Source organism: Homo sapiens, chromosome 4 (assembly GCF_000001405.40).
Source record: "Homo sapiens chromosome 4, GRCh38.p14 Primary Assembly".
Classification (NCBI taxonomy): Eukaryota; Metazoa; Chordata; class Mammalia; order Primates; family Hominidae; genus Homo; species Homo sapiens.
In genome coordinates, this window is record NC_000004.12 from 16,038,193 (window position 1) to 16,054,507 (window position 16,315).

The 16,315-nt window shown below is 42.5% G+C and overlaps 1 protein-coding gene across 39 annotated transcripts in view, besides 3 other annotated features; it reads right to left on the reverse strand.

The window, feature by feature from the left end:
• The window catches only part of PROM1 (prominin 1), a 115,796-nt gene that overhangs the window by 69,965 nt on the left and 29,516 nt on the right, over positions 1 to 16,315 (reverse strand). For 36 of the 39 annotated variants that reach the window (NR_199806.1, NM_001441179.1, NM_001441174.1 and 33 more), the window contains one exon: positions 754 to 809. The exons of 1 other annotated variant lie outside the window; for it this stretch is intronic. Coding sequence is in view for 36 of the 38 variants with exons in the window: in NM_001441174.1 (NP_001428103.1) it covers positions 754 to 809 (56 nt within the window). In the remaining 2 variants the exon portion in view is untranslated. Of the gene's footprint in view, positions 1 to 753; positions 810 to 10,663; positions 10,724 to 16,315 lie in introns of those variants that run through there. 2 more of the 39 variants (XM_011513903.3, XM_006713974.4) reach the window with 2 other exon arrangements.
• Positions 4,801 to 5,442: an enhancer, noted in NCBI's record as "H3K27ac-H3K4me1 hESC enhancer chr4:16044616-16045257 (GRCh37/hg19 assembly coordinates)". NCBI's record gives its function as "activates a minimal SCP1, AML or CMV promoter by ChIP-STARR-seq in naive H9 embryonic stem cells {active_cell/tissue: H9 hESC(naive)}" and the evidence as "EXISTENCE:reporter gene assay evidence [ECO:0000049][PMID:30033119]".
• Positions 4,801 to 5,508: a biological region, named in NCBI's record as "Sharpr-MPRA regulatory region 9620".
• Positions 5,214 to 5,508: a silencer, noted in NCBI's record as "tiled region #9620; K562 Repressive non-DNase unmatched - State 21:Repr". NCBI's record gives its function as "represses a minimal TATA promoter and a strong SV40 promoter by Sharpr-MPRA in K562 cells {active_cell/tissue: K562}" and the evidence as "EXISTENCE:reporter gene assay evidence [ECO:0000049][PMID:27701403]".

Consider the following 16,315-nt stretch of genomic DNA (forward strand, 5'->3'; position numbering starts at 1 on the left):
TTCTAGCCATGTCCTCACACAGCAGGAGCTTCATAAACCTTATACAAATGCAAAGCTACTTTTTAACAAACGATGTTTTATAACAGAGTACACAGTCACCATCTCTAGGAATTTTCAAACAATTCTACTTAATGAGGGAGTTCTCATCCCTCAGCTAAAAGAAAAGTAGCGTAATATTTCTTTTTGAAGAAATTTTAGTTTTTATTTATTTATTTGTTTATTTATTTTGAGATGGAGTCTCACTCTGTCACCCAGGCTGGAGTACAATGGCACCATCTCGGCTCACTGCAACCTCTGCCTCCTGGGTTCAAGCGATTCTCCTGCCTCAGCCTCCCGAATACTTGGGACTACAGGCGAGTGCCACCACGCCCGGCTAATTTTTGTATTTTTAGTAGGGATGGAGTTTCACCATATTGGCCAGGCTGGTCTCAGACTCCTGACCTGGTGATCTGCCCGCCTCAGCCTACCAAAGTGCTGGGATTACAGGCGTGAGCCACCACACCCGGCCTTAGTTTTTAATTTTTAAGTAACATACAACTTGAAAGGTTTTCTTCAAATGCCGCTTTTGAACTTTCTGCTATGGTTCAAATGGGATTTGTAAGGTGGTTCAATATTCCATGAAAGTTCTTAGTCAAAAAAGATTACTAAAATTGCAGATTGAATAACTGGTTATTTAAAGATTTACTTTCAAGTCAGCCAAAATTTTTCTCATACTTCGTATTTTTAATAATAAATACACCAATGAAAAATTACCTTGTCATAATCAATTTTGGATTCATATGCCTTCTGTAAGAATTTTCTCAAAGTATCTGGAAAAAAAGCCACAAAATAGCAATATTATTTTTTCAGTAAAATTATAAAATGCATATTTAGAAAAAGATCTTTATATGCTTAAAAATTATTATACCTATATTTCTATTATTCTTATAATTTTATTCTTATTTCTTAATGTAGGTAAATAATTAATGACCTCTAGCCAGAAGCCAAGAATAGAAGACAAATACTTCTGATTTACTATTTTGTCAGTGACAGAATTAGAGAGTTGTCATTTTTAAGTTAGTAATTTATCATAATACACCTTAATATTTACCAGCAAACCGCATACAGCTTATTAATAATCATTTATAAAAATTTTGCTGAAATTGCTAATTCTTAATTGTCTGGAAACACAAATGAAATTTATTGTTCAATAATTCCACATTTGCCTGATATTAATATTTTACAAAGGAATGGATGAAAGGAATCTTAAAATTAACTCAACCCGGCAGGATGCCGTGGCTCACACCCGTAATCCCAGCACTTTGGGACACAGAGGCAGGTGGATCACCCGAGGCCAGGAGTTCAAGACCAGCCTGCTCAACATGGTGAAACTCCGTCTCTACTAAAAATACAAAAATTAGCCAGGCGTGGTGGCGCATGCCTGTAATCCCAGCTACTTGGGAGGCTGAGATGGGAGGATCACTTGAACCCGGGAGGTGGAGGTTGCAGTGAGCCGAAATCGCGCCACTGCACTCCAGACTGTCAAAAAAAAAAAAAAAATTAACCCAACTCGAGTTCTTAACATGGGAAATCCTTCTCTTCCTGTCTCCAAGCAGTGCATAAAAACCTATGCAATGCAAACTGGAACTTTTCCATAAATACTCATTTAGAGTATTTGCAAATTCTCACATAGGCCTGGGACCAAAAAAGACTAAGAGCCACCTCTTAACCCTGAGCAGCCATCTAAGAATGATATGAGACAACTGAGACATGGACAGAGAGGGTGACATAGTGATTCGTGAGGAGGCCAGACCAAGGCTCAGGACTTCCTTCTCCTGTGCGGGTGCCTTCCCGCCACCTGTACACTCTCTCTCACCCCAGGAAGGAGCTTCTGCAGTGCTATCACTATATCCATCACGCCTGAAATGTACTAATGGGGGGGCAAACGAAACACTACATCAACTCCTTTTTTGATGCAAAAAAGTTCAGATTAACATATAGGAAAACAAAGCAAGCCACTTTCCCACAAGGCTTTCTGCAAAACAACTTTTCTCCTCTACAACTCAGAGATATGGGCTGATGTTTAAAGATTATGCTGCAGGAACAGAGATTTTCAAACTGATATGTACCCAGGGAACCCCAATAGTTTCTTCACAGTACCTCGGGGGCTGCCCAAGGACCAGAGGGACACTGAGGCTGTCTAATCCCCTTCCGACAACACAGGCTACTTCCCCCTTCAACCAGTCAGCATTACTTTGGTCTGTTTTACAGATCAGGCTTTAACATTTCATTGTTTAAAATTTCACTGAATGAAAGAGTCTACTGTTGATTTAAAAACTGAGAAATCATCTGTTTATTAAAATATACTTAGCTGCACAGCATAATATGTTGCAATTTGGGATCTTGATCTAGCAACGAGTTAGAAGGGAATCCAAGCTCCGCCACTTAACTGTGTGTCTAATCTTAGGTGAATAACTGCTACGAACATGCTCATGTGCAAAATAAGACGTCCCTACTCTCAAAGGACCACTTAGGGTGAAGTGAGAAAACATTTATAAATAAAACAGCACCGGGCCTGGCACACAGTGGGCACATGGTATATACCTGCTATCATTATATGAAGGAATTTAGAGCATGCAGATCACAGAACAGTATCCATGGTAAGTGCAGTGTGGAAGACTGTTATTTTGGCCATTCAATATCCATTCACTTTTTTTTTTCCCTTACAAAACAAAAGCAAACAAACAAAAACAAAATGAAAAACTTTGGATTTCTTCTGGGGAACTGCTTCTTCCATCCTCTCAGGCCACGTGGACTGGGGAAGCCGTGAGCCCAGCACCTCAAAGGTAGATCCTCACGGGTCTGAACCAGCGGGTCTCCAAGCATGGGCTGTGGGAATCCCCAAGACATGTTCAGGGTGTCCATGAGGTCAAAACACAAGATGTTAATTGCTTTTTTTGTTGTGTTGACATTTGCACTAGGGTGCAAAGGCGGTGGTAGATAAGAATGCAAGTGATTTGGCACAAATCAAGATGGCAGCTGATACTCATTATATTCTTTGCCATCAGGCACTCATGTTCAATAGTCAGTTACACTTAAGAAGGCTCTTGATAAAGCATTAAAAATTATTTTTATTAAATTTCAACCTATGAGTACAGCTCTTTTTATTATCCTGTGTAAAAAAAAATGGTAACTACACATAAAGCTCTTTCATATACATCAAAGTATAATGTGCAAAAAGCATTTGTGCAAGTGTTTTAAGTTGTGAGCTCAACTAGCCACAGTTTTCATGGAACACCATCTTTACTTGGAAGAAAAGTTGATGGCCAGGCACAGTGGCTCACACCTGTCATCCTAGCACTGTGGGAGGCCAAGGACAGAGGATTGCTGAGCCCAGGAGTTTGAGACCAGCCTGGGCAACTGGGTAACATAGTGAGACCCCACATTAGTCAAGTGTGGGGGCATGCACCTGTAGTGGGAGGCTGAAGTAGGAGGATCATTTGAGCCCAGGAGTTCAACTAAGCCACAGTTATGCCACTGCACTCCAGCTCGGGTGACAGATCGAGACCCTGCCTCAAATAAATAAATAAATAAATAAATAAATAAATAAATAAATATATATATATATATATATATGAAAGGCTGAGAGACAAATTGTGACTATTCAGACTTAGATATACCCAATCTCAGCCCTTAATCGTGGTTCACTGAAGGCTCAAATTCCTGGACTCAAGTTATCCTCCCCTCTCCCCTCAGCCTCCTGCATAGCTAGGACTACAAGTGCACGCCACCATGCACAGATAACTTTTTAATTTGCTTTTTTGTAGAGATGGTGTCTCACAATGTTGCCCAGGCTAGTCTTAAACCCCCGGCTTCAAACGATCCTCTCACCTTGGCCTCCCAAAGCACTGGGGTTACAGGCGTGAGCCACCGTGCCTGGCCAGCATTTTCTCTGAAATGAAAGAAGTGGAGCTTGCAAGTTTAAGAAGCCACTGACAGGATTTGTTGCCAATGATAAAACTAGAGCTTTCAAGCAAAAATCAGAATTTTGCAAAGTGCGTATCCACCACCATGAGCTTGACAGCATTCCAGTACTTATGCCTTTCTAACGTGATCAGTAAGGATATTAAAGAATTTTTGATACTATAAAATGAAATATGTCCACATTTGGGAGATGTGCAAAACTCAGTGAACGAATATTTTCCAAAAGATTCATGCATCATGTCACAAAAGCCTGCGTGGAAAAAGATCCATTCAAAGTGGAAGACAAGGAGGTGGGAGGAGGGTAAATGATTAAAAATTACTTAATGGGTACGGTGTACATTATTCAGGTGATGGATACTCTAGAAGCCCTGACTTCACGACTATGTGCTGTATCCACATCACAAAATTACACTTGTACCCCATAAATTTATACAAATTTAAATTTTTTTAATAAATAAATACAGTGGAAGACAGACCAGTGGCTGTTAATAGATCAAACTATAAAAAATTAATTCACATGGTTCCAGATTCCACATTGCAAATAACCTTTAAAAACTAGCACTTGCACAGTTTTAGTGTGGTATTAAAGAAAAATATCCACAATTATCTGAAAAGACTACTAAAGTACTGCTCTCTTTTACAACTACCTATCTCAGTGAGAGCAGACGTTCACCCTATACATCAACGGAGCTAACACCCAGTACCTCAACGGGAGCAACCCAGATACAGATATGAAAATCCAGCTGACTTGCACTAAGCCAGATGTTCAAGAGATTTGCAAAAATGCAAAAACCAATGCCACTCTTCTCATGATTTTTGCTTTTGGAAACTATAGTTATTTTTAACAAAATTAAGTTATTTATGGAAAGGGTTTATTATCGTTCTTTTTAAATGAATTGACAAATATATGTTAAGGTGTTCTCCATTTTATCTTCAAATATGATAAATATTGATAAACAAAATCTCTCTGGGGCCCTGAATAATTTTTAAGAGTTAAAGCGGATCTGAGACCCACAGTGTGTGAGTGAGACCTTCTGGTCTGAGCCAAGTAACATATCCACCCAACCCCTATAACTTGGTTTAGGAGTCAACAGATAATCCAGCTTCAGCCAGTGAGAGACAGACTCAACAGACTCAAGTCTTGGCTTTTCCTGCTTTTTGTTTGTTTTGTTTGTTTCATAGAGATGGGATCTCATTCTGTCACCCAGGCTGGAGTGCAGTGGTGCCATCATAGCTCACTGCAGCCTCAAACTCCTGGCCTCAGCCTCCAGAGTAGCTGGGACCACAGGCATGCACATCACACCCAGCTAAGCCTTGGCTTTTTCCGGGGAGAAATGCTCACTAACACCACCCTTCACCAGGCCCCTGCTGGAAAGGACGTTGGTCTGGAGTCACTGCCACAGTCCTCCAAGCGCAAGGCAAGAGACTGAGAATTGAAGCCCCACATGAGAACCAGCCCTGGCAGCATCACGGGAGCCCCACTTTGAATGGATATTTTTCTGGACTGCACATGCTGAGAAGGTGGCAGGGATGTGTACTGTAGCCCGAAATACAGAAAACAAGGGGAGCCTGCTCTTGAGAGCACACAGGTTGCCCCATGACGCTGTCTGGGATGTGGTTCTGCGCCTCTCCATCCATTGCTCTGTCCATAGCTCTGACTGCCAGCCTCTCCAGGGTGTGTGGCCTGGGAGTGAGCAGCCCTGTGAACTTCAGTATGGACCTTCTGTGGCCAGCAGCCAAGTCTGCAGAAATGAGTTCTGGAACTCAGGGCCTCTCTGTCTGTCTCCCTCTCACACACCCCCCAGGTCAGGGGACAGCGCTGGCAGGATGTCTTAGCTTCGTGGGATTCTCTTGCAGTTTCTCACTACACTTCAACAGGACATGCAGCAGGAGCTTCTCCAACAGGCTGCGTGCGTATGTGTGCGATTTATGAGTTTTGTGATGTCTGAGCCACGGAAGTAAGCTAAAATAAGAAATGTGCCTTGTGCAGGACCCATATATTATAACAGATCCGTCTTCTTTATGTGAGTCAAAACTCATCTTTGACTAAGATATTTCTGTTCCCAAACTGGCTTCTCTGAATACATATGTAGATTCTGGCCTAAGCTGGGCCTAGTGAAATTCTATCCCTATAATGTTCTCTTGTAAAATGAATAGAGAACTTAAAATCCCCTGTTGTTTGCAGTAGATTTATCAGATTTGTGCCAAGCTTAAGTGCTCTTGGAAAGATTTTGCTGATAGTGTCTGTAAGTCAGCTTGCTTGGGCACTTGTGTTTACTTAGAAATGTGATTAATTAAGAGCATAAATAGTGTTAAGTGCCTCTCTGCGGAGAGACCACAGGGTCCCTCTTTTGCCTTTGGTGGCCCCATCTTAAACACACATAGTTCAGGGGGTCTTGCACGTGGCTCTGTGCTAAGGATTTAATATGTTAACCCATACATTAAAACAACACTGTTCAAGTGAAAGAGATTATTCATATTTTCCAAAAAGACACAGAATAAAATAATATTCAATTTAGAGACTTGCAGAAACTAGGTTTGTACATGCATCATTTTTGTAAATTAAATACTAATTAAAATGCAACTATAATTGTTTCTTTCCAGGCATATAAGACTTTCTGCAGGCACTTCCAAATAAATTTCACAACTTGCCCCTATCTAGACAAAATTCCTGAGGGGACAGGGGGAAGTAGGCAAACCAAGTAGAACTGACAAGCCCAGAAAAAACACAAATCTACATGGTTCAAAAAGTGGTAAGTCTCTGGCTGTGCTGGCATTACACAGGCTATGGAAGATTGAGAGGCATCTTGCCCCAAGAAAAGTGTCCAGCACAGTGCCTGGTATATAATATACGGAGCACTACAGATGCTAAGAGACATGTTAGCCTCTCCCACCTCTACTCTGGGATCCCACGGCCTTCAACACTCCACTCTTCCCTGCCGGCCCTCAGCAAGTGGCACAGAATGAAAGTGTCCCGTGCCATCTGTGTGTTGCCTCTTCCTCCTTGACCCACAGCCCGACTCTATTCCCCAGCTCTTTTGCAGCTAAGAGGGACCAGGGGACTTGAGTTCTGGCCAGCGGAACACAGATGGACATACACGCACACCACTTCCAGGCCTGGCCTCTGAAACCTCCCAAAAGACCCTGCATGTTTGCCCTCTTTATTCTTCTCTCAGCCAAATACAGAGGATCCAGTGGAGAATTCCGAAGCCCAAGTGGCTGGCAGAACCATTAGGTAGAGCGAGCCGCAGTCCCCAGACCACACCACCCAACTCACGGCAGCCTCTATGTTGGACTGAGCAGTGAACCACAAACATTTTGTACTGAGATTTGGGCTTGTTTCTCTTAGCAAAGGGTGTTGCTTACCCTAATACAACACACCTTACCGAATTAAGACCCCCAACATTTTCTAGCTACGTGCCTCCTCTACCAGTAGCCTATCCTGTCAGCTTTGACTAAACAAAGAATGAGAAAAAACAAAACAAAACTTTTTTTTCAGCAGAAAGTAAACATACACATGACACATGCAGAGACTCACTGAAGCTTATAGACCAGCACCCACATACACTGAGATTTTTAAGACATCTTCACTGAAATATATGAATTCCTGTATTCATAAAAGAGAATGCATGAAAAGGTACTTGCACTCATAAAAATCATGACCAAATACAGTGGAGCATTGCTCAGATGAATCACTCTTCCCGCCTGCTTCTCATTCATGGTCTACAAAGCTTGGAGAGTCATCCCAGGCCTGAGACACATCCAATAAGCCTACCAACTGAATTGTCCTGATCTACAAAACACATGTTCATAACCAGTTTAAACCACCAATTCAAACAAGTCTCTACTGCCAAAATACTTAAGGAAAATGTTCTCAGGTAACAGTGTTATCCTGGGAATAGTGCATCAGATAGGGGTCAAGGCTAAGTTGGCTTAAGATCTCAGTAGAATCTCCAAGAGTTATGAGTACAAATGGCTGGTAAAATGAGCTGGGAGCACCAGCTTCTGGGTCCAGCCTGCCCTTTCTGGAGGAGAATGCAGATTTAACTCAAGAGGCAGAGCCAGTTGGTGAAAATATAAACATTTACATGGTTTATATGTGGCCACCAGCACTTTCTCCAGGGTTCCCATATGGAAGGGATCTTAAATTACAAACAGAGGTAACTCTCCCTCTGAGTCTTGTCTTCCCTCATTGGGCTAGGCCCGCTGGGTTTTGTTTTTATGCTTTAGAACTTCCTGATTCCACTTTCCAAAATGAAAATTTGTCTTCTTTAGATAGGAAAATACCTCATGACTTTAAACAAATTCAGAAATGTCTAGTTATTTGCATAGCTTAACTCAATTTACCTTTCATCAAGGAAAACAATGTTTAAGGAGCCAATTCATTGCCTGAAAATGTTTAAATCTACATTGAATCAGCGTAGGAGATATAATCACTTCTGTTAGGTTGATCGGAAAAGAAAAAGAAGGAAAACAACCCTTAGATATTTTATTTTAACTTATTTAAGACATACAAATACACATGCATTTGCCTCTCATCTGGTGCAAAGCCAGTCACTTCAGCTCCAAATCACAAGCTCGAGGGAGACAAGAATGACCCCATCGACTCACGGAATCACACTGTCTACACAGAGTGGGTACTTCAGAGACAGCACTCAGTCATCACAGACTCTGTCTCAAGACACAGGTGACTTTGCTCATTTGATTCTTCGGTGACTAGAATAGGCAGAGGGCTAGGCCCTCATCCAACCACGCACTCCTTCCCACCCTCATTCCCAAACACTGGGAATAACTGCCTGTGTCTGTCATGGTTCCCTAGAGAGACAGAGCCAATAGGAGACAGTAATATAGATATTCAGAGACTTATTCTAAGGAATTGTGGGACCTCGCAAGTCTGAGATCTGTAGAACAGGCTGGCAGGCTATAAACTCAGGTAGGAGTGGACGCTACAGTCTTGAGGCAGGATTTCTTCCTCCTCAGGAAACCTCAGTTTTTCCTCTTGAGGCCTTTCAACTGATTGGATGAGGCCCACCCACTTTATCAAGGGTACTGCCTTTCTTTTTTTTTGAGAGAGAGAGAGTCTCTGTCGCCCAGGCTGGAGTACAGTGGGGCAATCTCAGCTCACTGTAACCTCTGCCTCCTGGATTCAAGGGATTCTCCTGCCTCAGCCTCCCAAGTAACTGGGATTACAGGTGCATGCCACCACACCTGGCTGATTTTTGTATTTTCAGTAGGGATGGGATTTCACCATGTTAGCCAGGCTAGTCTAGAACTCCTGACTTCAAGTGATCTGCCTGCCTCAGCCTCCCAAAGTGCTGGAATTACAGGTATGAGCCACCATGCCGGGCAGGTACTTACAGTGTCTGGCCGGTACTGCCTTTCATTTAAAGGTTGCAATTAGTTTCATCACAATTAGTTTTGTTACAATTAGTTTCGTTAAACTAGTTGTAGATGTTAACAACATCTATAAAATACTTTTAGCAGCAACACTAGATTAAGGTTTGTTTACGTCATCATCTACTATAGCCTGGCCTAACTCCACCCCAGCCAGCTATTGCTCCTGCTGGATGGTTATACCTCATGGGTGCTGGAGCAGAACACCTCTGAGCAGCTGTGTTTCAGAGCAGGTAGAGGAACTATCATTAATGACAACTGCTGACAACCTGAGCCCCCTACCAAGCAAAGGGCAGCAATCGGGGCCCAGTGAGCACAAGGGCAAGAGGCCACACATAGTCTCTGAGGACAAGGATCTTGAATGCGGATCCTTAACCATCCCCCTTAAAAAGTTGATTTATATTTGGTGTGCACTCAATTCAAAGGCCTGAGTTCAAATAAATGCCTTTTGAAAAGACTTCCATGGAAAATACTAGAGCCAAAGAAGTTTGTCACTTGAAGGGTTAAGTGTGGCTTCTCTGAAAAATATACTTATCACCTCCACCTTCCAGCACTCCCATTTGGTTAAATGTGTTCATTATTTATAATGAAGTGAACACAATCTGTCCACTCCTGGGCTCACATTTTCCCATGGCTGGTATGGGTGAAACTGAGACCAAATAAGTGATTCTGGGGGGACCCAAACAGTACGATGGCCTCGGGTCCTGGAGTTCACCAAATTTCCTGACTGAGCCTATTTCCTTATGCTGTGGCTGAGTTGCACCTGTCTGAGTTTAGTACCTGAGTGATATGCATTGAAAAACCATTTTCTGCTACAACAGGGCTGTACTTTTCAGTTTCTCAGAGCACTTTCGTTAAACCCTTCAAATCCTCACATCCACATGACTAAACTGTTCAGTTTGGTTTTTGATAAAAGGATTGAAGCTTCAGACTTTTAGAAGCCAAGCCATATTTATCAGACGTGTCGAATGTATCCCCGGTGCCTCCACAAATATAACAAAGTACCCTGGAGAGGGAGGTCTCCCTTTTTTTTTATTTAAAATGCAAGTTGAACACCTTTAGGGTACTTTTTTCCTATATCAGTTCCTCTCCTTTAGCTGACTGGAGTGGCTTCTCCCTGCAGGACTGACACACGTTGGCTTTTACTAGAATTAATGGTGGCACGAACTCACTCTGCAAGTAAGGAGCTCAGAAAACATGCTGCCCGGGAAGCTATTCCTGTGAAAACATCTGGACCAGTCTGGCCTGTGTAGCTTCCTGGCAGCCATGTGCTCACAGCCACGTGTGGACTGTGATTTTACTTTACCTGGATGTAGCATGTGGTACAGCCCAGCCCGTAACTGGGAAGATTATCATTTCCAGTTCCTTTAGAGGAAGCGAGTACTCAGGTTGCACAGGGTGAAGGGACGCTCCAGGGATCTCCTGGAGCCTGATATCCTGACCATTGCAGTGCAGCCACCCTGATGATGGGGCGGCTGGGCTGGGGCTCCCCGACAGTGCGATGGGCCATGGGCCGGGTTCCTGTGCTGCCGCCCCTGGAGAATCCAGAGAGTGGGGGTTAAGGACCACTGCCAAAATATTTGTGGATTCCGACGGCATTTCTTTCCCTAAGACATTCCTGGAAAGCATAATTCCATTTACAGCCTTTGTCCCTGCTGTTCCTGGGGGAAAGATTACTGGGAGGACCTTTGAAAGGAATGTTATTTGAATCTGTGTGGAGGTCCATGTGAGATCACAAACGCTGCTGTGAGAATGTGAATCAGCCAAACCCTGTTCTGTTCTACATGGAAAAAGGCTCAGCTGTCAACAATGGCTTCCCCAGGACAGGCAGTATGATTAGAAGCAGTTGTGAAGGGGAAATGATTTTCCTTATATATAGTTTGAGCTCACGTAAATTTGTTTTAATTAAATGTTTAAAATAAAATAATTTTATTAATCTGGTACTCTATCTCCCTCTCCCCCCACCCACAAATAAGAAATACGCACTTCTTGACAAAACAAAGTTAAAAATGCTGGTTCCTGTAAATCAGATCTCACCATATTCTTATGTAGGATATGTGACCTAGAACAATTTTTACAGTATTTCAGCATGTAGTGTTTGTCATAAGAAACTTACCAACTACCAGTCATAATTGTACTGAATAAGAGGACTCTGATCTCCTTAAATTTATATATATATATAAGATATGTATATATAGTTTATTATTATATTCAATAGGACATGAACAAGATGATGAATTTTTTCTTGTAAATTGATGTGGATGGTCTGCCACTGCAGGCTTCAGCTTCAGCATTGTCTCATTCCTTCTTAAAATGAGTTACCCATTTGCAAACTGTGATTTCTTTGAGGCATTGTCCCCACACAATATGTGTAAAGCATCCATTATTTCACTATTCTTCCACCCAAGCTTCACCATAAATTTGATGTTTGGGCAGGGCGCGGTGGCTCACACTTGTAATCCCAGCACTTTGAGAGGCCAAGGTGGGCAGATCACGAGGTCAGGAGTTCGAGACCAGCCTGGCCAACATGGTTAAACCCCGTCTCTACTAAAAATACAAAAATTAGCCGGGCGCGGTGGTGGGCACCTATAATCCCAGCTACTCGGGAGGCTGAGGCAGGAGAATCCCTTGAACCCGGGAGTCAGAGGTTGCAGTGAGCCGAGATCATGCCACTGAACTCCAGCCTGGGTGACAGAGCAAGACTGTCTCAAAAAAAAAAAAACCACACACACACACACACAAAAACTGATGTTTGTTCTTGCTTCAGTTTTAGAATTCATGTTGCACTGATACAGGGTGTTTGTTTGGTTTTTGTTTTCTTTGAGACAGGGTCTCAGTCTGTTGCCCGTGCTAGAGTGCAGTGGCACGATCATGGCTCACTGCATACATGATCTCCTGGACTCAGGTGACTCTCCCGCCTCAGCCTCCTGAGTAGCTGGGACTACCGTCATGTGCCACCACATCCAGCTAATTTTTGTATTTTCTGAAGAGATGAGATTTCGTCATGTTGCCCGGGGTGGTCTCGAACTCCTGGGCTCAAGTGATTTCCCCACCTCGGCCTCCCGAAAAGTGCTGAGATTATAGGTGTGAGCCACCATGCCCAGCCTAATCCAGGCTATTTTAAAACTGATGTCTTATCCTTCTTAGTGAACCAAACTAGTACCTATTCAGATATCTTAGAAGAAGTTAATATAAGTTTATTCTGATGCAAAAAAATTTTGAAATCCATGCATAGTTTTTTCCATATACACATTTTCCATGAACGTTTTGAAATCCCTTCATATATTTAATGGCATGGTCAGACTATATTCCCAAAAATGCTTAATAGGCACAAATACATTTCAGAGTCTGTACTGCATTCTAAGGATACAAGGATGACAAGATGCAATCCATGCTGTTAATAGGCTCACTGCCTACTGGGAAGACAGATAGTAAACAAAATAAAGTAGGTGTGCTGTGTGGGGAGATGCAGGCATATAAGGCTCAGCATCAGCTGGCTAGGTTGGGAGAGTTATGAGGAGTAAAGACTTACTAGAGCAGATAATATGTGAGCTGCGTCTTAAAAGAAGAGTAGAAATATCCAACTACTAAGTGAAGGGAAAAAACTCCAGGGACAGGGAACAGCATGTTCAAAGTTATTCAGACATGAGACAACATGACAGGCTGAAGGAAATGCAAGTAACTGGCACTGCTTAAATAAAAATGCCAGGATGGGAGATGAGGAAAGACAGGCAATTACCATAGCAGTTAGGAGCAGAGAACTCCAGCCCTGCTATTTAATGGCTGTGTGGCCTTGGGCAGGTGGCTTAGCCACTCTGTGCCTTCGTTTCCTCTTCTATAAATGTTATGCCATTATTATCACTAACAACCTTTTGAGTGCTGGGAAACATTAACAAATGATCAGCTGTGAACTCTCTAACCACTCTAAATATCCATCGTCCTGTGAGGTGAAGAAGGCACCTATTGTGTGCCAAGCCCTCTCTGAGCACGGAATGAGTTGATTTTACGCTACAAGATGCTGAGTGTGGGGTTTTGGCCACAGGTTGAGTGCAACACGTAAGGCCTCATCAGGATGTGCTTTGTGAGTTCAGACTGTAAAGTGTCTTCCCCTTTGTGCCCAACAGCAGAGCCACTAAGGCTGCCTGGTCAGGTGGTCAAGACCCAGACTGTCTTTGGACACGGAATGGTTTTTCTCCCAGCCGAGCAAACTGGAACCAGGTTTCTGACCCTGGTTTAATGAGCCCGGCATTTTAACAGAGTCTTCCAATTATTCATCGCAGCTGAGAGCAGAGTCAGAAACTCCAAATGAGACTGGGATTTGTAAGAACTCGGTAGCCCTCCAAGAAACTTCCTAGAATCCAATACAAACATGACATCTTCTAATTTGCTTTGAATCTCTCCTACATAAAGTTCTATATAATGTCCGAAAACAAAACCCCAAATGAAAAGGGAGGGAATGAAATGCCCAAAGGCTACCTTCTTTCAATCTAAACACAAAACAAACCAGCTTCTCTGTTGGATCTATATCTACGCCTGTTTATGAGCTATGGGATTGGAAACCCACAGCCAGTGTGGAGATGAAAAGGAATGCTTTGTGAGAGCTGAGCCTGAACGCTCGTGAACCTCCACTGAGAATGCCAGGCTAAATCAAGCCTCCTTGGCAACTGAAGAAGTACCCAGCCTTTCCGACTGCTTCTACATCTCCACGTCTCCAGCCTTACTCACTGCACTCCCACAGAATCCACAGCCCTGAGCTCTGTTCTGGCCACTCACAAAATCACCATCAGGTCCTTGGGAGATACTGAAATAAGCAGATTTCCCCATTTCTACAACATGGTATCAGAATGCTCCCGACACAGCAGAATGCCCCCTAATAAATGGAAAAGAAGTGACAGAACACCACCACTTTACAGCACTATAGTAAATGCTTTATTTTTTATTTCTTGAGACAGAGTCTTACTTGGTCACTCAGGCTGGAGTGCAGTGGTGTGATCTCGGCTCACTGCAGCCTTAACCTCCCTGGGCTCAGGTGATCCTCCCACCTCAGTCTCCTGAGTAGCTGGGACTACAGGTGCACAACACCAACATGCCTGGCTAATGTTTGTATTTTTTCTAGAAACGAGGCTTTGCCGTGTTGCCTAGGTTGGTGTCAAACTCTTGGGCTCAAGTGATCCGCCTACTTCAGCTTCCCAAAGTGCTGGGATTACAGGTGTGAGCCACAGGGCCTGGCGGTAAGTGATTTATTAAGGCAAGAATAACCTATGAATGCTAAAAGCCCTAGGCAAATGATTGTTGGGGAACAGGATAGTATATGGAAAAATCTGGAAGACACTACCTTACCCACATTGTTAATTTCACCAGTAATGAGACAAATTGACATCATGAGCCTCCTACTGTGATAACAGTGAAAGGGCATGTCATTTATGTAGTGCCACAGACGAAATATTTAATTTGAATAAAAGCTATAAAAAAATTAATGTAAATATTTGAGAAATGTAAATATCAACTGTTTGGGAGACAAAAGTGTCATAACAATGCGAAATGTCCTGCATGTCATATTTGCATGTGGTTATGTAAGAAAATGACCTGAGGTGCATGCTGAAGTATTTCACTGTGTGGCAAAATATTAACAACTGTTGAATCCAGGTAGAGAATAAGCAGGTGTTCATCTGTACTACTTTTGCAATGTTTTTCAGGTTTGAGGTTATTCAAAATAAAAGTCTGAAATGAAAAAAGTTGTTGGACCTCTTTCTGTTTTTCTCTACAATCACTTTCCCTTTTCCAAACTCCACTTGCCAGTTAACCAGCTAACTAATTTTCCTCGTTTATCAAGCTCAAAACTTTTTGACTCAGTTTTGGAGAAAAACCACAATGTTTAAGAGTTTCTTTCTCCCTTGTTGTGATTCCGATTCAAGGGAAGGAAAGAAACAGTAAAAAAGATAACTGAGAAAATATGGGCACTAAACTTAATGATGATACTTAAGAGTAAAATAATTAGAATTCTTATTAACTTTGGTAATTTGGTAATGACACTATGGATAGTCAATATTCTCTAGAAATGCACGCTGTGGTGGGAGGGAAAATGACGTTATGTTTGGGTTTGCTTTAAATGCTTCAGCAAAGAAAAATGGAAAGAAAAGATAAATAAAGCAAATATGATAAAACCAAATAATTTTTTATCTGGGCCACTGGCATATGGGGATTCACTGTATTCTTTCTGGTTTTGAGTAGGTGTGGAATTTTTCATTATAGACAATTTATAAGGCCGGGCACAGTGGCTCACGCCTATAATCCCAGCACTCTGGGAGGCCAATGCTGGTAGATCACTTGAGGTCAGGAGATCAAGACCAGTGTGGCCAACATGATGAAACCCCTACTCTACTAAAAATACAAAGTTAGCCAGGTGTGGTGGTGAGCACTTGTCATCCCAGTTACTTGGGAGGCCAAGGCAGGAGAATCGCTTGAACCTGGGAGGTGGAGGTTGCAGTGAGCCAGGATTGTGCCACTGCACTCCAGCCTGGGTGACAGTGCAAGACTCTGTCTCGAACAAAACAAAACAAACTAATTTATAAGACGTCTTACCTCCCTTGCATTCCATCATCCAGTTCAGATCTCCATCACATCTACCCTACTTTTAATGAAGTCACTCACTAATTATTCTTTTGGCCTCTCATCTCTCTTCTACTCCATTCCATTCTATACAGCGCTATCAAGTTAATCAGTCTATCTAACCCCTTTTACGCGGCCTCCATCAATTGTCTTTAAAGCTACCCACAATGTAACCCTACCCTTCCAATTCAAATCAAAGTGAAATCAGGCTTTGGAGTCAGAGTGACCAAACACATATCTTGATTTGTCCAGACAGCCCTGGTTTACATCTGCTGTTCTAGCATAATCATTACCAGCGCTCTCTTTTATTCTCAAAAGGTGCCGGTTTAAATGACAAATATATGGTCAC